Source organism: Homo sapiens, chromosome 11, assembly GCF_000001405.40.
Source record: "Homo sapiens chromosome 11, GRCh38.p14 Primary Assembly".
In the NCBI taxonomy this organism is placed as follows: Eukaryota; Metazoa; Chordata; class Mammalia; order Primates; family Hominidae; genus Homo; species Homo sapiens.
Window position 1 is genome coordinate 116,773,369 of NC_000011.10, and position 23,753 is coordinate 116,797,121.

The 23,753-nt window shown below is 47.3% G+C and overlaps 2 protein-coding genes and 1 long non-coding RNA gene across 7 annotated transcripts, besides 7 other annotated features; 1 reads left to right on the forward strand and 2 right to left on the reverse strand.

Annotated features, from left to right (window-relative positions):
• Positions 78–167: an enhancer, noted in NCBI's record as "active region_5554". NCBI's record gives its function as "activates an Ori minimal core promoter by ATAC-STARR-seq in GM12878 lymphoblastoid cells {active_cell/tissue: GM12878}" and the evidence as "EXISTENCE:reporter gene assay evidence [ECO:0000049][PMID:35858748]".
• Positions 103–837, forward strand: BUD13-DT (BUD13 divergent transcript). The gene is made up of 2 exons (NR_186226.1): positions 103–143; positions 542–837. It is a non-coding gene; the product is annotated as a BUD13 divergent transcript (long non-coding RNA).
• On the reverse strand, positions 431–14,655 carry ZPR1 (ZPR1 zinc finger). Of its 3 annotated transcripts, NM_003904.5 has the most exons (14): positions 14,452–14,655; positions 14,114–14,275; positions 13,601–13,691; positions 13,143–13,213; positions 12,428–12,514; positions 12,146–12,268; positions 11,731–11,778; positions 11,487–11,553; positions 11,010–11,080; positions 10,162–10,251; positions 9,551–9,661; positions 8,790–8,876; positions 6,404–6,469; positions 431–5,691 (listed from the first exon to the last, which is right to left on the reverse strand). In NM_003904.5, the coding sequence occupies exons 1-14, from the start codon at positions 14,620–14,622 to the stop codon at positions 5,557–5,559; spliced, it is 1,380 nt and encodes a 459-aa protein (NP_003895.1). In that variant the 5' UTR covers positions 14,623–14,655; the 3' UTR covers positions 431–5,556. The 3 variants fall into 3 exon arrangements, with proteins under 3 accessions (NP_003895.1, NP_001304015.1, XP_047283760.1); NM_001317086.2 differs by lacking the exon at positions 14,114–14,275; XM_047427804.1 differs by lacking the exons at positions 431–5,691; positions 6,404–6,469; positions 8,790–8,876; positions 9,551–9,661; positions 10,162–10,251 and having other exon boundaries at positions 11,013–11,130; positions 11,491–11,553.
• Positions 1,531–1,700: an enhancer, noted in NCBI's record as "active region_5555". NCBI's record gives its function as "activates an Ori minimal core promoter by ATAC-STARR-seq in GM12878 lymphoblastoid cells {active_cell/tissue: GM12878}" and the evidence as "EXISTENCE:reporter gene assay evidence [ECO:0000049][PMID:35858748]".
• Positions 14,358–14,607: a silencer, noted in NCBI's record as "silent region_3924". NCBI's record gives its function as "represses an Ori minimal core promoter by ATAC-STARR-seq in GM12878 lymphoblastoid cells {active_cell/tissue: GM12878}" and the evidence as "EXISTENCE:reporter gene assay evidence [ECO:0000049][PMID:35858748]".
• Positions 14,642–14,865: a silencer, noted in NCBI's record as "fragment chr11:116658726-116658949 (GRCh37/hg19 assembly coordinates)". NCBI's record gives its function as "represses an EF-1alpha promoter that drives an FKBP-Casp9 reporter gene in an ReSE screen in K562 erythroleukemia cells {active_cell/tissue: K562}" and the evidence as "EXISTENCE:reporter gene assay evidence [ECO:0000049][PMID:32094911]".
• Positions 14,642–14,957: a biological region, named in NCBI's record as "ReSE screen-validated silencer GRCh37_chr11:116658726-116658949".
• Positions 14,678–14,957: an enhancer, noted in NCBI's record as "active region_5556". NCBI's record gives its function as "activates an Ori minimal core promoter by ATAC-STARR-seq in GM12878 lymphoblastoid cells {active_cell/tissue: GM12878}" and the evidence as "EXISTENCE:reporter gene assay evidence [ECO:0000049][PMID:35858748]".
• On the reverse strand, positions 15,999–19,052 carry APOA5 (apolipoprotein A5). 3 transcript variants are annotated; one of them, NM_001166598.2, is made up of 4 exons: positions 19,012–19,052; positions 18,444–18,500; positions 18,218–18,329; positions 15,999–17,699 (listed from the first exon to the last, which is right to left on the reverse strand). In NM_001166598.2, exons 2-4 carry the CDS (start codon positions 18,490–18,492, stop codon positions 16,760–16,762), a joined length of 1,101 nt encoding a protein of 366 aa, NP_001160070.1. In that variant the 5' UTR covers positions 18,493–18,500; positions 19,012–19,052; the 3' UTR covers positions 15,999–16,759. The 3 variants fall into 3 exon arrangements, with proteins under 3 accessions (NP_001160070.1, NP_443200.2, NP_001358833.1); NM_052968.5 differs by having other exon boundaries at positions 18,444–18,524; NM_001371904.1 differs by lacking the exon at positions 19,012–19,052 and having other exon boundaries at positions 18,444–18,511.
• Positions 17,678–19,463: an enhancer blocking element, noted in NCBI's record as "candidate insulator 11-1-2; CTCF association and DNase I hypersensitivity in multiple cell types". NCBI's record gives its function as "blocks activity of the beta-globin HS2 enhancer when located between the enhancer and the Agamma-globin gene promoter in a lentiviral reporter assay in K562 erythroleukemia cells {active_cell/tissue: K562}" and the evidence as "EXISTENCE:reporter gene assay evidence [ECO:0000049][PMID:24098520]".

Genomic DNA, 23,753 nt, shown 5'->3' on the forward strand with positions numbered 1-23,753 from the left:
TAGCTGGCTAGCTGTACGACCTCGGGCAAGTTATCACAAAACAGGGAGAATCCCGGCACCTAACTCGGAACGGTCACAGGCTGAGATGATATTACTGTGTGAAGTGCGCAGAGCGGTGTTGGGCACATGGTCATCGGAACTATGTTCGTTATTTTTATAAGTATCTTTAAGTGGGGGGAATCTGCTCCACTAGGCTTCCAGGTACCTACCGTCCAAGAAAGGAAGCCAGGAAGTGCAAACCAACATAATTACTATGAAAAACGTAGTTTCTAAGACCTGTGTAACTCTTCTAGTGTTCTATTACAAGTAGCCCCCAGTTATCTCTTGAAGGAAACTGTAAAACAATCTTGCCAATGAGAAGGACGGACCTGGATCATTTTTTAGCATAGTAAAAGAGAGAAACCAGAGAGAATGAATTCTAACACTCAAGTTTTGGGGGGAAAGAAAAGACTTTATTCTTTGCAGGGGGTTTAGAGCTTTACCTGAATTATCTCATTTAACCCTCACAATTCTCAAATCGTTTCATTATCATATTTTACAGATAAGAACTGAAGCGTGGCAAGATTAAGGAAGTTGCTCAACTTCACATAGTCAGAACATGACTCTAGGGAGTAGAGGCTAGCGAAGTGGGGTGCAAGAGGTCATCCAAATTTCTTGAAATACCAGATCTTTTTACCTCATCATATATGTTAGATTGTCAGTTTTATCGTTTTCTTCCCAGCTTTATTATTTGACAAAAAATTATATATATTCAAGGTGTACAATGTGATGACTGGATATAATTATACATTGTGTAATGATTACCAAAATCAAATTAAGTAAAACATCCTTCACTAATTTATGTAGTAGTTCGGTGGGGGGGCACTTAAGCAAATTTGTCTTAGCAAACTTCAAGTAAACAATACAGAATTATTAGCTATAGTCAACATGTTGTACATTAGATTCCCAGAACTTGTCTTAAAACTGAAAACTTGTACCATTTGAGAGAGAAGTTTTAGTGTTACTGAAATCACAGACTTCTGACAGAATTTGCAGGATGCTATACACAACTACACAAAAGTGCAAACAATAGTTTCTTGGACCAAGAGTCAAAAAGGTCACTTTTTTAATATATTAGTCAAGCAGACAGGGCTATACTTTATAAATAAATACACATTATCTGGGGATAAGTGTTTAAAAAATTCTTTACTCATATAATACAAAACAGGCTTGGGGATCAGTCTTGAAGCATGAATTTTTACCCAGTGGGCCATGTTGAGGGGGTTGCAGCACAGGCCCAGAAAGGAAAGCAGGCTGGGGCTCTGAGGGCTTGTGAGACGAGGACGCTGGGCTGAGAAGATAGGGCTTCACTAGGCGGAGGGCCCCAGGGTACCCCATACACAAGCCTGCCTTGGCTTCTCGTCCAATTTGGTGCATCTCACACTACACAGCCCTGCCCCACCCTGGTGTCAGCAGGCATTCAGAAAGCCTCACACTTCTGCTCCAGTGAACACTGCCAGGATAGCCCTCTGAACTTCCACCCACCCATCTTCTGCCCATTTGTTTTCTTTGTCTTCAATTCCACTGCTACCCATCCTACCCCAGTCCCTTAGCCTGACAAGGCCCAAGTGTCTCCACCCTGTGCTGCAGGGCAGTTAAGCAGGATCAGATGCCGTGCCAATGGCCTGCTCTGAGCTTTGGCCTCTCTCTGCAGTTGTATCTAATAGAACAAATACAGTAATTGTGGAGCTGAGCTTAAAATATTCAGACCTCAGGTTTCAGAGTCTGACTGGCATGGGTTTGACACCTGCCTCTTAGAAGCTCTACTTCTGGCCAGGCACGGTGGCTCACGCCTGTAATCCCTGCACTTTGGGAGGCCAAGGCAGGTGGATCACGAGGTCAGGGGTTTGAGACCAGCCTGACCAACATGGTGAAACCCCATCTCTACTAAAAATACAAAAATTAGCTGGGTGCAGTGGTGGGCGTCTGTAATCCCAGCTACTCAGGAGGCTGAGGCAGGAGAATTGCTTGAACCCAGGAGGCAAGGCTGCAGTGAGCCAAGATCGCACCACTGCACTCCATCCTGGGTGACAGAGCAAGACTGTCTCCAAAAAAAAAAAAAAAAAAAAAATTAGCCAGGCATGGTGGCGTGCACCTGTAGTCCCAGCTACTCAGAAGGCTGAGGCAAGAGAATCGCTTGAACCTGGGAGGCAGAGGTTGTGGTGAGCCAAGATCACGCCACTGCACTCCAGTCTGGGCAACAGAGTGAGACTCCGTCTCAAAAAAAAAAAAAAAAAAAAAAAAAAAAAAAAAAAGCTCTGCTTCCTTCTGGAAGTAACCTCTCTGAGGCTGTTTTGTCACCTGTAAAATGGGGATAATTTTGTTTATCCTAATTATCCCCATTTTACAGACTAGGAAAACAAGCATTGGAAGTGCCAATACTAAACTGAGGTGAACGCACAAAATAAGCAGCTTTTTCTCTCCACAGTTGGAAACACTGCCATTTGCCTTAAAAAGAAGTGTGTAAAAAACATTTTTTAATAGGAATAAAGCCAAGTAGTCTTAGCCACCACTGCCCTAAATGTAAGCAGAGACACCATTTTCTGCAGTGTGCATCAGGCACATACCACAGGTGTACAAAGAAGGAAATATACTGATGTTAGAATGAAAGTGTTGCCATCATTAAAGTTTTCAGTTGGCCAAGTCAACTGCCCTTCATACTTGCTCCCAACACTCACCTCCCCTCCTCCACTCATCATGACACAGATGTACATTCAGTACCTACCTGTATGTTCGTCCACACGTCTAATGACCGAACATGGCTGCATTTCACATACTTGACCCATGAAAGTAGGAGGCGTGCCCTCATGCATGAACCACTTTCCTTTTTTAACACAATCACAAACCTTTTCCACTTAAATGTTACTCATGGCTGTGAAACTGAATCCACATGTTCCTGGCACTTTGACTCACCTACCCTGGCCTTAAAGCGAGACCCTTTCCCTATCTTTTTACCTATAGATGTTATCCCTAGTGTCCTAATAGGGTTTAATCTATGATGGAGGATTTTAACAGATTTTATTAACCATGTGTCATATGCTGGGTGCTGTGGAGCAAGACTCAGTTAACTATATGTAAGCTCCCATCCTGACACACTTTATGAAATGAGAAAGGAGCTGAAAGATAATTCAAGAGAAGGGTATGAAACTGAAGAATGCCTTGTCATCAAAGGGCAGGAAGTACCTTAGCTGGGTTATCCCAGTCTGGCACCTGGTCCTCAGTCTTCAAGTTCAGAAACTCAGGTCATCATTTCCTAGGAACTGGGTGGATTCTGGGAGATTGCCTCACACCAACCAAACTCACAAGAGATTCAGTAATAAGCCAGAGTGCCATTTTTTTTCCTTCACAATGGAAAATGAACCTGATACTGCAGTTTATCTTAACAGAGCACACCTACACTATGGGGAAGTCTACTTAAGAGACCAAATGATAGATCAGAGGGTTGTCTGGTAAACTTAGATTCCCAAGTCAGCTGGAAACATACCTAGAGATAATCTCTTAGGGTAGAATAGTTGCCTGTGAGAAGTTTGCCCAAAGTACTGAAGCTTTATAGTTTGAATGAGTCATTTGCTAACCTGAGTCTCCAAACACCTTACTCTCGCCCTCACTTACAGAAATTAGAGATACAGGTATGGAAGTTAGTCCCACATGATAGTAAGATGCCAAAGAATCTGATATGGAGAGATGTCTGAAAGCAGAACTCTCAGAAACAAATTTAGTAAGAGGGGAGGAGGCAAAGTGTCCAAATAAGAAATATTCAAAGTGAAGGGAAAACCAAGGGTACAGTATCTCGAGAGCCAAAAGAAGGGTTAAGAAGAGATGGTCCACTATCAAATGTGACAGAAATAGATAACACTTTCCAAGTGGAAAATCACTTGTGACCTTTGAGAGTAGTTTAACAGAGCAACGAGAGTAGATGTCTGATTGCTAAATCATCTCTAACTCATTCTTCAGAGTTAAGTTTGCAACACAGCCGGACGCGGTAGCTCACGCCTGTAATCCTAGCACTTTGGGAGGCCAAGGCTGGCGGATTGCCTGAGCTCAGGAGTTCGAGACCAGCCTGGGCAACACGGTGAAACCCCGTCTCTACTAAAATACAAAAGAAATTAGCTGGGTGTGGCGGCGTGCGCCTGTAGTCCCCGCTACTCGGGAGGCTGAGGCAGAATTGCTTAAACCCGGGAGGCAAAGGTTGCAATAAGCCAAGATCACACCACTGCACTCCAGCCTGGGCAACAGCGCGAGACTCTGTCTCTACCAAAAAAAAAAAAAAAAAAAGTTTGCAACACAAAGCAATAAGGTTTGTGATAACATCTTAATCAATGAACTGGTCTTTATTGAACAAATACCCTGCAGTCTGCACCACAGGAGTCACCTTTTGTTTATGAGAGGCAGGAGACTACAGTGCAAAGAACACTGGCTGGGAAGTCCAGGGCCCAAGCAGCAGAGTGTTCACTGGTCCTTAACTTTCAGAAGAACTGCAGAGAGCCTCCTTTCTCTCTGGATGAATGTGTTTCAACATTTCTAACTGAGAGTAGGGCTAACTGATCAGGTACCCCCACTGGCTCTAACCTCACAGCTCTAGCATTTGCAGTTCCCTCTGCCAGGAAATCTCTTCCCCCAGATACCCACACAGCTCACTCCCTGACCTCCTCCTCAGCTTTGCCCAAATGTCAAATTATCACCTTCTTGTTCAGAAGATCTTCCCTACTCCCCATTTCCTTGCACAACCCAGCCCCATTCCCTGCTTTACATTCCTCCATGACACTAATCACCATCTGATGTACTGTTTTCCTGATCTGTTTATTGTCATTTTTCCCCACTAGACTTCAAGTTCCATGAAAGAGATTTATTTTGTCCTCTGTTCTGTGGTGTGCTTGGCATAAAGTAGATAAGCAAGCATCTGCTGAAGGAATGAATTAAATGCCAGCTGCAATCCCCAAATTACAGTAGATACACGGGAAAATTTTCTTTAGGAGGCTGAATTCTAACAGCATGATATCAAACAAGGATAGGGTCAATACAGAGGCCAGTGCTGTTTGAAAGTCATCATTTCAATGGTAACTCCTTCACTTGTGCTGGACTCGGTCTCCCCTCAGGAGACTCCTTTCCTGTTCAAAGTCAGTATTTTATATACTCAAAACCAACAACAAACTCCAGGTGTAACTTTATTCCACCTTCTCCAACTTCAGAGTTCCAACCTTAGAGGATAGAGCATTATGTGGAAGGAGGGTGAGGACTTGATATGAAAAAAGTGATGACATACCCCTGGTTCATTTCTGGGTTTCCTCCTAGGCCAATTCAAAACTTCCAAAATAAGGTCAAGTAACACAATAGGCTCACACTTGCATCACAAGCTGTTTAGAAAGTGTGCACAGATCTCTGACTCAGACCAGATGTCCTCCCCACCATGGGCAAGGGCTGGTGGGAAAGACACTCCCAGCCTTCGCCTTCATCCAATACTAATAAATAACCTACAGAAAGAGCAGCGCTGGAGGCTGGCCCTTGAGCCACCCACTGCTACCGTTGCGGAGCCAGGCCTGCCTCATAGCCCTCTGTCTTCATGTCATTGAGCCCTAGCTCCTCATTTTGGTCAAAGGTGCGCTTGTAACGCTCCACCTTCATCTCAGGATCATCTTCAGGCGCATACACATTCTGCAAGGTCAAGGAGAGACAATCAGTGCCGCTGTGCCACTCCCCCTCTCTGCAGGCAGCTTCCAATTCCCACCTTCCCAAGAACAGAATGAGTTTTGGGTTTTTTTCTTTTTATTGGCCTCCAATTTCCCATGGCTAGACTGAACTAGTGGGTAGCAACAGAGCCCACATGGGCCAGGGGTAGAAGACCCCAGCCCCAGAATCAGGGAACAATCCACCTATTTTGTTATATCTGCACCTTCTTATGAAAAGTATGACAAATGGTCTTAATCTTGGAAAGAACTTAGAAGAGTTTTGCCTGACCCATGGTAAGTATCCAATAAATGGTAAAGGTACATCAATCACCAGACTCTCTCCTCAGTCAACTTAAAGCCTATCAGTTTCCTATCTTGGCCTCCGGACAAGGTACCATTTCTCCTCAATCCATAATCAGATTTGCAAAATGAAAACTCCAGAACTGGGACAAGAGCTTGACTACAGAAAAAAAAGGGGCCTCAGAGTATCCTTTTTTTTTCCTTCTTTACATACACTTAAAAAAAAAATCCCCTCCCACACCCCCCTCTTTTCTCCCTTATGTATCTTCTAACTTCTGCCTCCTTGGTAAAAAGCAGTCCATTTAGAATCAAGTCTTTCAGTTTCTAGGGAAATGATACATATTCAAGGAAGATCAGAAAATGTATCTCTATGAAACATCAGGGAAGGTCTACTATACCTGCAAGTAACTGTTTCCTGCTGGATCATCCATAATAAAGTGGGCCTTCATGTTACCTTCGATGATCTAAAGGAGAGAGAGAACACAGCAAGTAAATTTTACATAACCCCTGGTAAAAAGAGGCTATGTCGGGGGAGGGGGGAGGGATAGCATTAGGAGATATACCTAATGTAAATGACTAGTTAATGGGTACAGCACACCAACATGGCACATGTATACATATGTAACAAACCTGCACGTTGTGCACATGTACCCTAGAACTTAAGTATAATAAATATATATATAAATAAAAAAAGAAATGAAATAAATGAAAGTAAAGAAAAATTTTTAAAAAAAGAGGCTATGCCTGCCAGACAAGAACCAACCCAATTTATATTACAGAATCCCCAAAAGTTTTAAGAATTGGTGAAATTAGGTAGCTCTGAAAGTAGAGGGGAAAGGTTCTAAAATAAGGACTGTTAGAAAAGCCAACATCAGCAAGCTGTGGACTAGGGGGTGCTGGCCCAGTTGAAGGTAGAGGGAAAGGAATCAAGAACAAGTAGGTTAAATGAATGTAAGCTTATGGGAAACAGAATACATACACACCCCAGCCCCCTTCCCACAGCTCTCAGAACACTGCCAGCCAAGCCTTTACCCTCAGGCCAGGAAATGGAGCAGCCACAGTCATTTAACCTCCTTGTTCTTGAGTCCTTTCCCTCTACCTTCAACTGGGCCAGCACCCCCTGGTCCACAGCTTGCTGATGTTGGCTTTTCTAACAGTCCTTATTTTAGATCCTTTCCCCTCTACTTTCAGAGCTACCTAATTTCACCAATTCTTAAAACTTTGGAGGATTCTGTAATATAAATTGGGTTGGTTCTTGTCTGGCAGGCATAGCCTCTTTGTCTGACTAGCCCAAGAGGAAAGACCTAACAATTCTGGCATTGGAGGCCACCTCAGCAAAACAGCTAAGTTAAATTCCCCTGTAATAAGCCCCATGTCAACAAGGCTCACCCCCTACTCAGGTCTTTAGCCCGCTACTTGTAAGAAGACAATCAATGATTATCAGACATCTGAGCAAAGCCCTTAACACTGAAAGATGGGAAATCAAATGGGGAAAAAAAGGATGCAAGGAGAATAAAATGTCAAAAAAGATCCAACATCAGTATCAATAAGTGCTATATAAACTGCATGCTGAAAAAATTTAAAAAATAATAATCCTCAAGAAGAAAAAATACTACATCCTTAAGACAGGATGCTATTTTTTAAAAAGCTCCTTGGAAAATAAAAGTTTTAGTGGAAATGAAAACCTCAATTGAAGGGTTGGAAAATAAAGTTGAGGGAATCTCCCAAAGAAGAACAAAAAAACCAAGAAACCAAAAATAGGACCAAAAAAAGAGTAAATTATAGAAGACCAGACAAGTAAGTCTAATATCTAAAACCCAGGAGTTTTCAGAAAGAACAGAAAAAAAAAATCAGAAAAAAGATAATCTTCAATAGAATAATTCATGAAAGCTTCCTAGAACTGAACCACATGAGTTTTCCAGACTGAAAAAATACATCTACCAAGTGCTTAGCCCAGTGGATGAAAACTGACCCACACCAAGGCACACCCTGAAATTTCACATCAAAGGAAACGAAGAGATCACAAGACTAGGTCACATATAAAAGACCAGGAATCAAATGGCTTCAGACTTCTCAATAGCCAAAGTGGAAGACTATAGTACAATGTCTTTACCAAACTGGAAGACCATAGTGCAGTCTTCGAAATTCTGATAAAAAATTATTTCTATCCTAGAATCGTATTCCCAGCCAATAATCACTCTAGTGTGATAACAGAATAAAGACATGTTCAGATGTGGAAGGTCCCAGAAATTTTATTTCCCATGCACTTTTTCCCAGGAAGCTACTGGAGAAGATGCTCTAACAAAATAAGGGAGAAAAACAAGAAAGAAGACGTGGAATATAGAAAACCAGAAGAGGGCCAGGTGCGGTGGCTCACGCCTGTAATCCCAGCACTTTGGGAAGCCCAGGCAGGCAGATCACGAGGTCAGGAGTTCGAGACCAGTCTGGCCAACATAGTGAAACCCTGTCTCTACTAAAAATACAAAAAATTAGCCAGGCGTGGTGGTGTGCGCCTGTAATCCCAGCTACTCGGGAGGCTGAGGCAGCAGAATCGCATGAACCCGGGAGGCAGAGGTTGCAGTGAGCCGAGATCACGCCACTGCACTCCAGCCTGGGCAACAGAACGAGACTCTGTCTCCAAAAAAAAAAAAAAGAAAAGAAAACCAGAAGAAGAATCCCCAACATGATGGTTAGATGTTCAAAAAGTGGCAAGACATGAGCATGCAGCCTCCTGTTCACTGGAGCCCCAGGATTCTAAGTACTGACTGGCCAGTGACCTCTTACCTGGTCCATCTTCTGGCTAAACTCCTGTAGTCTCTCCGTCTGTCCAGGATTGGAACTGTCGCCCAGTGTGAAAGGATTTTTGGTCACCTGCAATAAATGATAATCCAAACTATGTGAATACTGGCTTTATATTTGTTAGGCCTGACCATAAACTAGGCAGGGGGTGACAGTGGGTGCCCTGTCAGGGAAACTTGGTTTCCATTTAGCCCACACCACCTTTCTGACCAAGGCAGTCACTCCTAGGAGTCTATGGGATAATGTGCCAAGATAACAAAACTGGCAATGTAAAACAAAATCGAAACATGTTCTTAGAATATGATCTCTGATACTAATTTGGAGAAGAAATGCAAAGAAAAAGTACAATTTACAAATACAAAATGCCCAACAGAGAATCAAGTGAAATAATTCATCAAGGAGATAAACATTTGGGCTAAGTCAACCCATACATGTATGTTTTTTATGTTGGGAAGTTTTAGGTGCTAGAAGGACCCTCATCCCCTAACTTTACAGTAAAATAAATGACTTGTCCAAGACCACAAAATAACTATAAAGTCCCAAAGTTAGGCCTGGAATTTCCATTCAACATTTCCCATAAACTTGTCTTCACCATCCAAAGTAATATTTAAGTCTCTTAAACCAGCTTTAAGGCAAAGAAACCCACAGTTACCAGCACCGAAAATTAGGATGTCTGAAGTCTTCCAGTCCCTCTTCACACAGCCAAATTGCTCAAAGGTGGTTTACACACTACTCAAGTGACTCACCAGTTCCCGGATGTCTTTCAGCAGCCCTTCCAGTGTGGTGAACTTGCCCCCGAGGACTGCCATTCCCAGTTCAAATTCTAGCTCTGGGATTTCCACACTGCAAGTCTCAGACTGTGAAATGAGAGGTCAGTTTAAGCTTTAAGTCAGAAGCAAAGAAAGCCAACCAGAGGCCTCCTGCCCAATTAATACCAGCAGTGATAGACTGCGGACAAGGGCAGCTGTCTCAGTTTTCTCTGACTCCCTTGTTAAAGCTTGAGACTCACTCCTGTCCATCTGAACCACGGGAATAGATCCAACTTAATAAAGGGAAACTCAGTCATAGCTTCGAGCTGTCAGGTATCCTGTCACTAGGGGACAGACAGAGAAGAGGACCCAGATAGACACTGGAGGCCAAAAAGCTACCAGGTCATCAGAAAGAGCTAACAGGGTCACCTTCTAAACCTGCAATTCCAATCTTAGATTAACTCCCTCTGCTCAGGGGTCCTCAAAGCCAGGGAAGTAGGAGATACCTCATGTCCCTGAACATTATTTCTAAAAGACAACTTCCCCTAGATAGAGACAGTTTATCTAACTTATGAGGACAACAGTGACTTTCCCAAGCAGACTGTTACCTTGAGGAGGTCTCTGGTCATATCTGAGGCATCTGTGATGTGGAGGGTGATCCTGGTGCCCAAGGGTTCTACTGCTCCTCCAGATTTCACCTGCATCGATAACAGTCAGGAGCAACAGAGAGAAGACCTGAGCCTCACTTGGTACCCAGGAGACCTGGAGTGTAGGCTTGGACATCCAATCAGTTAGGGCCATTAATAGCTACCAAAGAAAGAGCCTTCTAAACAGCAGTCGCCCAAACCAAAAACACCAAGAGCTGGCCAGGAACAGTGCCCAACCCTGGTAACGTGCCAAAACTTATCCCAAATTGCCAATAAACTCTGAATTTACCTTAAAAAAAAAAAAAAAAAAAAGACTTTTGGGGTTGAAAGAGACTTTTAAGCATTTATTGCAGTCCTTTCATCCACTGCATCCAATGTGTGGGTCTCCTTTATAATATTCTGGTTAAAGAATTTAATTAGCTTATACTCAGATACACTCAGGGGAAGGGAATTTATAATTCTCTAAGGCAGCTCATTCTATTTTCAGACAGCTCTATTGAGTTCTTCATTGTGAAGTCAAAGTCTGCCTCCCTGAACTTCCACACCTCTGAGGAGTGGGTCAAAAGACTTCTCTCTTCCATATCATCAACCTTTAATATGTCTTAAACAAGTTATAGAATCTCTAACTTTTCTTCTCTAGGCTAATTCCCATTCCTTCAAGGGCTCATCACCCTGCACTAGACCTAAGAAAAAGACCCAAGCTACTCTACACCCCCTGCCCCCGAGTACTGAAGTACTTAGGAAGAATGATAGTTAAAAGGGGGTTACCCTTAAGCTAGTCTTCTTCCCAAATAATGGCGCCCACCCACCTCATTGGTCCGATGCCCACAGTTCTCGCAGTTGGTAGCCATGATGATAACCTCCTTAAAGTGAGGGATTTCTGGAAAACGGAGTTAAGGAAATCTACTTCCAGGCGAACAAGACCACCATCTGGGGAAAAACAAAGCCAAACCCCACACAAACATATGCTGGTCCCAGAACTGCAGGAAATATTCACAAGAGGCAGCCCACAGAGTCCTCCAGAAGAGGGCAAGTTCCCAACCCATGGCAATCCCTGTTCACACATTTGAAGGCATGGCTCAGGTCACACACACACAGCCTAGTGACCATGGCCTAATTTTCTCTTTGAACACAAAACCCAAGGTACACAGTCTAATCAAAGATAATATCTTCCTTATCACTGGGTATAAAGCATGTGTTTTCCTTGAAAGGGATGCTCCCAGCCTGATTATAATCTTCATGCCTGAGTCAGATGAAGAGCAACCCAACTGCTTGGCAAAAGATACGTACTAGCTTCATGTTGGTCTGAGCGGGGGCATTGCATTCTGGGCAGTTTGTGCTGAACTGGAGCACCTGGAACACAACATGAGGACAAAGGGTGAGCCCTCCCAGATGGGATGTTCAGGCTAAAGACACTCAGTTGGTATGCTAGTGGTCATCTATGTTGGTGACAAGGAAGACAGATGCTGAACAGCATCAGTCTCAGCCCACAACTCTGCTCCTTCCTCACCAGTAGCCAATGTGACTCACTTCATTTCTGAGATCTTCCTCTTCTGGCTTCTCTGCTGGTGCTTCTTCCTAAAATAGCAAAGATGCAGGTCGCAAGTTGGCAGGTATACCTCAGTGTCCCCAACACCCTGCCCTGGAGTGGGAGAAATGCTCAGGTGCCACCTCATCAGTTATGTCAGGTGCCACCTCATCAGTTAGAGAAACCACAAAGTAAAGCCCCAACCAAAGGAAGAACAGGACTTAAGATAGGATCACAGCCACTGCCATCCTTTCTGTGAAGTTTACCCAAGTCCTGGACATAAGCAAGATGAGAAGCACAAACAAGCTGAGATAGGGCACACAGAGCAGCAGCAGCAAAATAAGTTCCACTGACTCCAAGCAATCCAGAGTGCGCGATAATTCCAGAGCATTCTTCTGGATCCTTCAGTCCACTTACTTGAAGCCCCAGCATCTCTTCCTGCTGTCGGGTCCGGTTGTAGTGTGTGATCACCAGGGCATCATCTTTCTGAGGAGCATGTGGGTTTTCCACAAAACTGTTCCCTGAGGGATCATCAATGATCTAACAAATGGGAGAAGAGAGAGTCACTGCAAAAGAAAATCATAAACAATCCTACATCACCTACTATCAGACCACGCAGGCATCACAGTGGAAAATCCCAGCAGTCTTAATGGTCCCTCCTCCCCTAATCAAGGGCAACTCCAGCCTCTCAATACTCACCAGAGTGAAAGGGGAGGCTACTTGCTTTAGCTCCTTCAGTTTGACAATGAACTCATCAATTCTTTCAGCTGTAGCATCTTTGTTTGCCTGCCATGAACAGAGAGTAAAGCATCAGCCCTGGTGGTGTACCTTATGCCCTGCCCCTTGTCATGCCCATGTTACTTCCATTAGGAAGTCACCACCTATCTCAGTGTGAGTGGAAACAGAGTGACTCAGGCTTCACAATGAGATGTAGCAAACAAGCCTGAAGTTGACGGGTGGTGACAGGTGAGCCTCCTTTTTCTCACTCATTCAACCATTTAGCCCAGGCACTCATGCCACGTTAGAGATATAATAGTATATATATCAGTCCTCTCATGGGACTCCCCAACCAATTAAGGAGACAAATAACTAAAGATGCAGCTATAATATATTACTTCTGTCATAATAAATATAAGATGCAGTGGAATACTCAGGAAACACAGATAACCCAAGGGGATTAGGAAAGGCTCTTCAGAGGTAATGTTATATTGTCTGATGAGGCCTGAATATATACTGAGGGAGGGAAGTGGAAAAGACAATAATTATAACATATGCAACATTCTAGCAGCTCCAGCACCACCATATGCTTACCCAGCAAGTTTCCAACACTTAGTCAGAGACTCTTCAGACACATGGGACACTCTATATAAGCAATTATTCCTTGAGCTGCTACAATCAGAAAACCCCAGCTTACCCTTCGTGCAGGCTGGTCCTGCTCCAGGCCAGAGATAGCACGGGTGATCAATCCTTCAACAGTGGTCAGAGCTTGTGAACAAGAACAAAAGACAAGTGTGACTTAGCCTCAGCTCTGCTATCAAGTCCCTGTATGACCCTGGGCAATTCACTTGAACTCTCTGGGTCTTAATTTCCTCATCTGTAAAATGAGAAGGCCAGGTGCAAGGTTCCATTCATGTCTGATAATAGTGATGCTAAAATTCTACAATAAACACACTATGGTATTACCATTACTTTCTACCATCTCGAGCTGTTTTACCTAAGCTTTCCACTCATGATTAACTAATGAAGATCACAATGATTACATGGTAGAACCCATACACAAACCACTAGACCTGGCACCAGGGGGTTTTGCAAGAAAGAGGGTAAGATTCTAGCTACATGCGAACAGCCCAAATACTCTGATCTTAAACTTACCTCCTTTCTGGCTAAAGGCAGGAATTTCAAAATCTAGCTCAGGAATCCTTGTGGCAGCAGAGTCAGTCTTCACCACTTCTCTGTTCATGTCCTGGGAAGAAAAGAATACGTTCAGTACAAAGAGACTGCAGAACAGCTTCTCCTCAAGTAATAACCAGACCGTCCCCTTCCATCAGACCGCAGCCCAGCTGTCTCTCCCTCTCGCCACTCCACAGGGTCCAGACTGCTCCTTTCGAATAGTACAGGTGGTGTGAGCCAGGCTGTCCAAATGGTGAGAATACTATTCATAACAACTACTGCTCATTTCATACCCTCAGACAACATTTACAAAGCATTTTCACAAATCTTATCTCACTTGAGCTGATGACAACACCAGTACCATTTTACAAAAGAAACTAAGGCTAGGAGACATAGGGGGATTTATTTAAGATCCGACCGCCTGGACCAGAGCTCTGACCCCAGTACCGAATCTCTCTCTAGAATACTGAGGTACCTGCTCTGAGGTCCTCTCACCTCCAGAGCCCTGACAGACAAAGTGTAGCGCACTCCCTGGTCCTGGATCCTGCCTGCCGACTGGATCTCCGTGTTGTTCCAGCCACAGTGCTCGCAGGAAAAGGAGCTCACTATTATTTCTCTGAAGAAGGGAATCTTGGTGAGCAGGAGGCGCGTCATGCCCTGGTGAAGTAGAAAGTAGCTAAGGAAAAAAATCAATGAAACTCCCTTTCCCCGCCCTACTATCTCCGGGCGCTCCTCGGGGTCCCCGGCCGGGCCCACCTGGCTGGGTCTGACCCCCGGCTCGTCCCGGCACAAGCCCTACCCACCCGCCGCTCGCGGCCGCGCCCCCGCCTCACATTGCAGTAACAGTTCATGCATAGCGACTCGATCTCGGTGGGCTGCTGCTCCTCGTCCTCGGCGCTGATGGGCCGGAACAGGTGATCAGGGGCAGGCGGCGGGGCCGGGGCGGGCGACGGGGCGACGGCAGCCCCCGGGGGCCCTGGTTCCACAGCCCCGCTGGCCGCCATGGCCACCACGCGCAATTCAGACCTCGGCTTCCTACTTCCGCCGCTCTCGCGGCCCCACCCCTCTCCCGTCACTTCCGCCAGCTGCCACCACCCCAAAAAAAGCCGCAGACTCCGGGCACTCGGGGAACAATGTCGTCAAGGGCTCCCGGTTCCCGGGTTTATATGGCTCGAACCTTACATCGCCAGCCGGATCCACCTCAACTCAGCCGTCACTTCCCCTAAGACGTCCTCTTAGAACCAGGGCACTTTTTTGCTCCTTCACAATAGCTCCACCGCACGGGGTTCTATTGGTCCCTACGTCGGTCTACAAGAGCCTTGACGACAAGGGGCTGGACTTGTCCCTGAGGAATCCCTGAGAAGGTGCGCCCGGAGCCGGGCTGCTTGGTTCCAGTGTTGGGCCACATACTGCTTGCGTGCTAGGTCGCCCCTCCGGGTGGCTCAGCCTCTTCCCCTCTCTCACAATCCCTGAATCCCTCTGTCCCTTTCTGTTCTTCCCACTCCCTATTCTGTCCTCATCACTACCTTCCCCAATCCCAGCCTCAAGTACACAGCCCTCATTTTCACTCCTACCTCCTCATCCCCATCATAGCCCTTGACCTATGCTTTTCCAGTTTCCTAACAACAACAAAAACACCTTTTATTATTTCTACCTTTCTAGCACTTCCTCTCTCCAGGTGCTGGGTCCACAACCCAGTTCTGTTGCCAACATTGTCAAAATCCACGGTGTCAGGGAAGACCAGCCTGCAGGCATGATGAGCCTACATATGTGTGGGGTCTGTGCTATGGGGTTGGGGAGCAGGCAGGTGCTGAGAACCCGGGGACAGTAGGCTGAGCTGGGAGGAAAGGGGGCCGGACAGGGAAGTCCAAAGACAAGGAGCTGTGTTTACCCTTTCCACGTCCTCCACCACACCCCAGTTTCAGTTCCCAGGGGATCTATAGGGAGCATTGGTGCCCCTGAGTGAGGGGAGTCCCCAGAAGAGAGTCCGGCATAAAAAGAGGCCATTCAAACTCTAGAACAGCAGGAACAAAGGAGGCAGCCCACCTCAGGAATCTTAGGTCCACCAGGGCCACAGCTCTTCCAGACACAGCCTGCATTCCATGCACAGTGTCCTGTGGGGGAGCAGGCTAGTGAACAGTGCAGGTGCAGAGGAAGGGCCCGTAACCCAGGCCCTCCTGCCAGGTGTGACAGACAGCCGTTGTCTAGCCAGGATCCCTGAAGCAGAGCCCAGCCAGACCCCCTTTGACAGACCTGGACTGGGAGTGGGTGGATGAGAAAGAGCAGCAAGGGAATGGAGTGGGTGATGGGTGTGCTTTGGGGATAGTGGTGAGGCCACTGCTTTCAGACATGGTCCAAATGAGAGTCACGCCAGGCAAACTTCTATCATAAACATCTATTTCATTTGAGCCAGAAGTCTAGGCTTCAACTTGGGAACCCAGAGGGAGGGGCTGGAGATGGGGAGAGCACACAGTATGCTCCCCAGAGGGTTTAAGGAGCTCCCACAGTTGGGAGGGTTCAGTCCCTTATTTAGGTGTAGAGCTATGTCAGGAAACATGGGCTCTGCCCTCTCCTATCACAGCCCACACCTTTCGTACCCACCAGCATCAGAGCCAGCAGGGATATTCACACACCATCACATGTTCTCCCCATGATATTCTCTTTCTCCCTTCTATTCCCCTGATAGCTGCCATGGCAGCCCTGGGGAGACAAGTGCTCCTCTCTGTGGACCAGCTGTAGCAGTGGCCACCAGGCAGCCAGAAGTGACTAGAGCCAAACTCCAGGATGTAGTGGCACAGGCTTCCAGCATCACGGCAAACAGGCTTGCAGATAATCACCCACATGCATGGTGCCTCTCCCTCCCTACTCCCTCACCCTTGAATGGAGTAACTCATGAGCATTCCCAAATGAGCACTGGGAGGCTGGGTTTGCAAAGCCTGGTGAATGTAATGCATCCAGATTGGGGAGTCGCAGGAGGCTGGATGTGCAGGAGACAGCAGCCCCTTTGGTGGCCTCCCTGTCCTGCACAGGACCTTCCACCCTCCACCCAACAGGCCACTTTCAAGGACTGAACCATGCTAGAGGCTCAGAGCCAAGGCTCCCCAGACAAGGAGCTGGGAATGGGCCTGGGCAGGTAGATCCTCAGGGGTCCCCCAGATGGCTGTGGCCCTGGTCATGAAGGCTGTGAGTGATGTCTTCCCACAGGTCATCCAGACGGGCCTGCAGCTTGCTCAGAACCTTGCCACTGTCTGTTTGTTGAAACTCTGGGGCGAAGGCACTGTGGCCTGGTGGAGGTGGCGCCAGCTGCTGCTGGACCTCCTCAGTCTCCTGGTCGATGGCGCGAGTGAAGGCAGCTATCTGCAGGTAGGTGTCCTGGCGGAAAGCCTGAAGTCGCTGGCGCACCTCCTCGGAGAGCATCTGGGGGTCCGGGCCGGCCCCTTCCTCAGTCCCAGTGCCTGCAAAGGCTCTGCTGAGCTCTTCGCGCAGCTGGTCCAGGTTCTGCTGGATGCGTGCGTGCAGGGCCTTGGCCTTGAGCGTGAGCTTCCGGGAGAGCACCTGCACGCAGCGACTGAGGCGCGCGGGGCTGGCGGGGGCGTGCGGAGCCACACTGCGGTGCAGCTCCTGCACGTGGCGCCCGATGCCGCTCACCAGGCTCTCGGCGTATGGGTGGAAGAGCTCTTTGAAGCGGCCGGTGTGGTGCACCACGCGGCTCTGCAGTCCCTGCAGCAAAGCCCAAGCCTCGTCCACGCCCCCCAGCAACTGGGCCTTGGTGTCTTCCCCCACCACGCGCAACTGCTCCTGCAGCTCCTGCACGCGCAGGGCCACCTGCTCCATCAGATCCATCGTGTAGGGCTTCAGTTGCTGCCGCAAGCCCTCCAAATTCCAGCCCACCAGCTCGTGCGCCTCTGCCATGTAGGGCTGGAGGCGAGCCTTCACCTCCTCCAACTCCTCCTGCAGCTGCCGCCGCATGCCCACCGGGTCCTGTGGGAGCCGAGGAGCCTCGCTCCCACTCAGAGGCCTCAGCTTTTCCAGGAACTTGTTCATATTGTTGAGGTCTTGCTCAAGGCTGTCTTTCAGGGTCCTGGAGAAGGGGACAGATATCCAGGCCGTCAGACTGCTAGCCTCCATCATCTCCTTTGTCCCCAAGTCATCGCGCACTGATCCTCTGGGGGAACCAAGGACGCAGGGCGTTGGCCCCAGGGTCGAGGGCTCTTGTCCTAGCCCTGGCCAGTAACAACTCACGCACGAAGCACAAACACATTGCCCATACAAATCCAGACCTACAACACTCTCCAAAGAAACATAGATGCGCCACATCATCCTTTGATTCTGGGGACTGCAGCGGGCGTCCTCCCGATTGATCCCAGGTCCCGCGCCTCAGTGAGCAAGGGGGCAACAGCTACGGAGTTGTCAAGGCGGGGGCTGCAGGCAGAGGGCGCTAAAGAGCCCAGGATGGCCGGGATCTGCAGACAGAGCTAGCACCGCTCCTTTCCTCTGTCCCAGCAGCGGCCACAGAGGTTGAGGCAGCAGAGGCAGGTCATCATGGCATGGCCCAGCTGTCTCCTCCCTTCGCCTACACCCCTTCCCCTGGGCACTCACGCGGGCTCGCGAGCCATCTTCTGCTGATGGATCTGCTCCACCCTGCCTTTGTCCCCGCTGGTCTGGCTGAAGTAGTCCCAGAAGCCTTTCCGTGCCTGGGTGGCCGAAAACGCTGTGGAGAGGGACTAGGTAATCAGGGCCTGGGCTCTCCTCCCCCAGGGTGGACAGGGCCCTCTGGCCAGCCTCCACCCACACCCCCACGTTGAAGTCAGGGTCGGAGACCCACCTGAAAGAAGAGCCAGAGCCCAGGTGAGCACGGCAGCCATGCTTGCCATTACCTGCTCTGAGAAGACAGGTGGAGGGAGGCCTGGTTAGGGGAAGAAGGAGACGAAGGGACATGGCGCAGGGGACTTGCCCAGGGGGCCTCTGCAGGGGCAACTGCCCGAAATCCTGTTACCCCTTCCTTGGGCTGGGGAGCACAGAGCTGTTGGGGCTCAAGAGGACTGACCTAGGTGAGTCAAGGAGGCTAGGGTGTCTTCCTCAGACATGGGAAGAGGGCGTGCTCTTGCTACCTCAGTCACATAGCAGGGAGCGTGGTGCTCTAACCCCTTCGCAAAGGTCCCAGACCCCAGGAACAGTTCTCTAGGCCACTTCTACCACCTCTCCCCTGCCCACCTGTCTCCCTCCCTCCCATTTCATGGTGGAAAAACTGAGCCATAATGAGGGCGAAGAGGCAACTCTGCCAAAATGTTCCAAGAGGACGTCTTAGGGGCCACCCCAGGCTCTCCCCTGAGGCCACCTGCAATGCCCTCCCTTAGGACTGTGACCCCCATCCCTCTGCCCCAGCTGCTCACCTGCTCACGTCTGGGCACAGAGAGCAGACATTCTGCTTTATACTCCAGGGCCCTGAGCCTCTGGCACCAATTGCTCTGAGTAAATACCACGTGGAAGTTCAAAAGAAGTTGACCTCAGCTGCCTCCCAGCACTCACCTCCTGCCCTTTCCCTGGCACCCAGAGGGTTAATGAGTGCCCTGGTATCAGGGGCTGCCCCAGTAGAGAAGTGCTTCCCAGGAGCTTTACGGGGGATGGGGCTGAACTCCTCACCCAGTTTCTCCCAAACCCCATGACCTTTAACCTTCCCACTGACCTGCTGGCTGGCCCACCAACAGAGAAGAACCTGTTTGTCTGCCAAGGGCCCCTCTCTTACACAACTACCCAGAGTCACTGTGTCCCAGCCGGCAAGATGGACAGTGTTCACCTACCAGCCAGAACCCGAGCAGCCCCTGAAAGCTTCACTACAGGTTCCGCAGGCATCCTCAGCCAGCATTCATAGGGTTAAAGACCAACCACATCCCTCTTTATGAAACAATCCTGGAACAAGCAAGGGAAGCCAGGCAGGGTGAAGATGAGATGGCAAGAGGCATCTGGGCCAGGGACTCTGAGCCCCAGGAACTGGAGCGAAAGTGAGATTTGCCCCATGAGGAAAAGCTGAACTCCACTCGCAGGGCCTCTGAGGAGAGCAAGCCCAAATGCTCAGATCTTCTCTGATGACACACCCACTCCGTCTACAGTACTCATACACACGTTCACAAGCTCCCGATTCTTGGTCCTAAATGCATCTTGAATCAATCCCCTCTCCTCCATTTCCACTACCATCATTGCACCAGTTGTCTGTCACCTTGATTGCATTCATAGCCTCCAACAGGTCTTTCTACCACACTCCTGCCCATTTAATTCATCCTCCACTGTGGCTCATCCTGACTCATTTCCAGTCTCATCTGCTGCCACATAAAACCACGGCATTCCCTGAGCCTTTATACAGGCTTCCCTCTGCTTGAAATAGCCTATCCCCTGGTGAATATATATTCATTTTTTAGAGTTAGTTTGTATTAGTTAGAATTAGACTTGGCTGCAAGGGACATATATATGTGTGTATATATATACACACACACATGTATATTTTATATTCTTGCATACATATATGTATATATATGTGTGTGTGTATATATACACATATATATATACAAGATACTGCTCTTACCACTCATACTGACATCCCATTGGCCACAAGTTAGTCACATGGCTACACTTAGCTGATATATATGTGTATATATATATGCAAGAGAATAGCTTAAACAAAATGGAGTCTTATTTCCTTCTCATGTAAATGTAGGCCAGCTCGGGCTGCTTTTATCTTGTTGCACTATTATCATCAACAAGACGCTCATATCCAAGTTCCAGCTGCTTCACCTCCAGCTACCAAGTTCACCTCCCAGGGAACAGGAAGGAGGAAAAGGAGAAGGACATGTTCCTTCCTTTTAAAGACACATCCCAGATATTGCCATTACCACTTGTACTGACATCCCATTGGCCACAACTTAGTCACATGGCTACACTTAGCTGAAAAGGAGGCTGGGAAATATAGTTTTTATTTTGGATGGCTGTATGCCTAGCTGAAAAAGGACTCTATTACTCAGGAAGAAGAGAAGAAAGGATTTGAGGGAACAGTAGTAGCCCCTGCTACACAGCTCCAGTATCACTCTGAATGCCTTCTTCGGCCTTCACCTTTTTCTGCTCTGGAGATAAACTGATTCCACATTATTCACACAACACTGTATATTCCTGGATTATAGCACTTACTATCTAACTGCACAATAATTTGTTGATGAATCCGAGAGCTCTTTGAGTGCAGGGGCTTTTTCTTATTCATCTCTATATCCACTAGTATGTTTTGCACAGTGCCTACCTACTACATACAAAGTTAAGTGACTGAATTCAATCATTCATTTGATTTAGGAACTGAGGTTTGAGGAGATCAAGTGGCCTGTCCATCATCACGCAGTAAGAGTTGCAACCAGAATCAGAACCCAGGTGCTTGGCTCTGGTGGTTCAAGAGAGCAGACTATGACCAAGTCACAAAGGGGCTTGTGCAAGCAGTCACTGAAAGGTACATGATGGAGAGATCACTCAGGAGGGTGGCCAGAGAGAAGGCAGAGGAACTATTTAGGGATATTTTAATAATCCAAGTGAGAAATGAAGGCCTGAAGTATGGCATAGCAGTGATGGTTGATAGGTAAGTATATATTGAGGGCTACTAAGGCAGCAGAGTTGATAGCACTTGGTGACTGATTGGATGAGGAAGGTGAAGGAGAGGAAAAAATCCCAATGATTCCCAGGTTTCTGAGCAACTAGGGGGATGATATTTTCTTTCACCAAAAAAAATAAGCAGGTTGGGACAGGAAGTGAGAGCTCAGATTAACAGGAGTCCTAACTCGAACCTAAGCTGGGTTTCAGATAGGCATAGGGCAAGCCCAGTTGAGGTCTATTTGCTTAATGGCTAAGAAGCCTCCTAAGAGAAAATTCATTTGAAAGGAAAAAAAGCAACAGGAGCTACCATCCAGTCACAAAACCACAGTCATGAAAAGAGAAGAGAGACTCAGAGTATTTGGGAAGGGAACATTTCCAGGGGTTGAAAAAATGTGGGAGTGGAGAGCCACTGAAATTGACTTTGGGTGATTACTTGTACCCACAAGCTAGTGTGGCCTTGTGCCCAAAGGCTGTCCACTGGAGATGTTCTGGCAGTTGGATACATATGTCTCAAGCCCAGGAGAGAAGTCTCGGCTGGAGACTGAGTTTTGGGAGTCATCAGCAGATAGGAGCAGTGGAAGACTTGGGAGTAGATGAAATCTCTAGGGAGAGTACATGGCAGGAGAAAAGAAAAACGCTGAGGTCAGAAAACACCAGTATTGGCCGGGTACAGTGGCTCACGCCTGTAATCCCAACACTTTGGGAGACCGAAGCAGGCGGATCACTTGAAGCCAAGAGTTTGAGACCAGCCTGGCCAACACGGTAAAACCCTGTCTCTACTAAAAATACAAAAAAAATAGCCAGGTATGATGGCACACGCCTGTAATCCTAGCTACTTGGGAGGCCAAGGCTGGAGGAGTGCTTGAACCTGGGAGGTGGAGGTTGCAGTGAGCTGAGATAGGGCCACTGCACTCCAGCCCGGGTGACGGAGCGGGACTCCATTTCAAACAACAACAACAACAAAAGAAGCCTTTGGCAGAGAAAATTAACGCTTTCCAAAGATCCATGTGCTGTGCTGTACTTCCCAGACTCCTTTGCAATTAGATTGGGGCCATACAGTTAGTTCTGGCCAATGGGCTGTGAGCAGAACAAAATGGGTTACTTCTGTTTGAGGACAATGAAGAGTGGATGTGAGTTCTCCATATTTTTTCCTTCCTTCCCCTACAGTGGAAGCAAAGAACTCCAAGCTGGCACTATTACAAGAGGGAGAGGGTCTATATTCTGAGTTAGTGCTTGGAGCAGCACCTCCCACCTAAAAGAGGGGCAGAGAAGTAGAAGTATAATCAAAATAAAGAAGAATCACAGAAAGAAAATATATTAGTTAAATTATATATTTGGCTGCTCTGAGAGAGACCCAAAATAACAGTGGCTTACAAAAGCTGGAAATGTATGTTTTCTCCCATACAAAACTTCACGCTGGTATGGGAGCACTGCTCCACAAAGCTGTCCAGGGTCCTAAGTTCCTTCTGTCTGGAGGTTCTAATATCCCTATGTGTTTCCCTTGTCCACATGATCTAAGATAGCTTACCACCATGTCCACATCCAGCCACTGGAAAGGGGGCAGGGTGGAGGAGAGGAGAGTGTAGAATGTACTCTCCTTTCTTTCTTTTTTTTTTTGAGATGGAGTTTCGCTCTTCTTGCCCAGGCTAGAGTGCGATGGCACAATCTCGGCTCATCACAACCTCCACCTCCCAGGTTCAAGCGATTCTCCTGCCTCAGCCTCCTGAGTAGCTGGGATTACAGGCATGCGCCACAACGCCCAGCTAATTTTGTATTTTTAGTAGAGACGAGGTTTCTCCATGTTGGTCAGGCTAGTCTTGAACTCCCGGCCTCAGGTGATCCGCCCACCTCGGCCTCCCAAAGTGCTGGGATTACAGGCGTGAGCCACTGCACCCAGCCACTCTCCTTTCTTTTAAGGACAAAACCTAACTTCTTCTCCCATCTCACTGGTCAGAACTACTTGTAAGGAAGGTTAGGAAATGTCATCTTTGTTTTGAATGGGCCTGAGCTCAATGATCAGTTAAAAATCAGGGATTCTACCCTCATACATTGCTGGTGGGATTGTACAATGGTGCAATTTCTTTGGAAAACAGTTCGGCAGTTCATTAATGGTTAAACATGGAGGAGTTCTCCTATGACTCAGCAATTCTACTCCTAGGTATAAAACCAAGACACATGAAAATACACATCTGCACAAAAACTTGTGCATTAATGTTCATGGCAACATTATTCATAACAGTCAAGAAAATGGAAACAACCCAAATGTCCATCAATTGATGAATGGATAAACAAAATGTTACCTATCCATATAGTGGAATATTATTTGGCAATAAAAAGGGTTGAAGTACTGATACCTGCTACACCACAGATGAACCTGGAAAACATTATGCTAGGGGAAAAAAGCCAGTCACAAAAGACTACATGTTGTAAAATCTCATTTGTATAAAATGTCCAGAAAAGACAAATAGGTAGAGACAGAAAGTAGACTGGTGGCTGCCTAGGGCTATTG

Excerpts from the sequence above, each read along its gene's own strand:
- ZPR1 (NM_003904.5), bottom strand. The coding sequence starts at position 14,622 with ATGGCGGCCAGCGGGGCTGTGGAACCAGGGCCCCCGGGGGCTGCCGTC. Across the intron at positions 8,877-9,550 it reads TGAAAGACATCCGGGAACTG|GTGACCAAAAATCCTTTCAC; the intron begins GTGAGTCACTTG and ends CATTTATTGCAG. Across the intron at positions 6,470-8,789 it reads TTAGCCAGAAGATGGACCAG|ATCATCGAAGGTAACATGAA; the intron begins GTAAGAGGTCAC and ends TCTCTCCTTTAG.
- APOA5 (NM_001166598.2), bottom strand. The coding sequence starts at position 18,492 with ATGGCAAGCATGGCTGCCGTGCTCACCTGGGCTCTGGCTCTTCTTTCA. Across the intron at positions 18,330-18,443 it reads GGCTCTGGCTCTTCTTTCAG|CGTTTTCGGCCACCCAGGCA; the intron begins GTGGGTCTCCGA and ends CCCTCTCCACAG. Across the intron at positions 17,700-18,217 it reads AAGATGGCTCGCGAGCCCGC|GACCCTGAAAGACAGCCTTG; the intron begins GTGAGTGCCCAG and ends CCCCTTCTCCAG.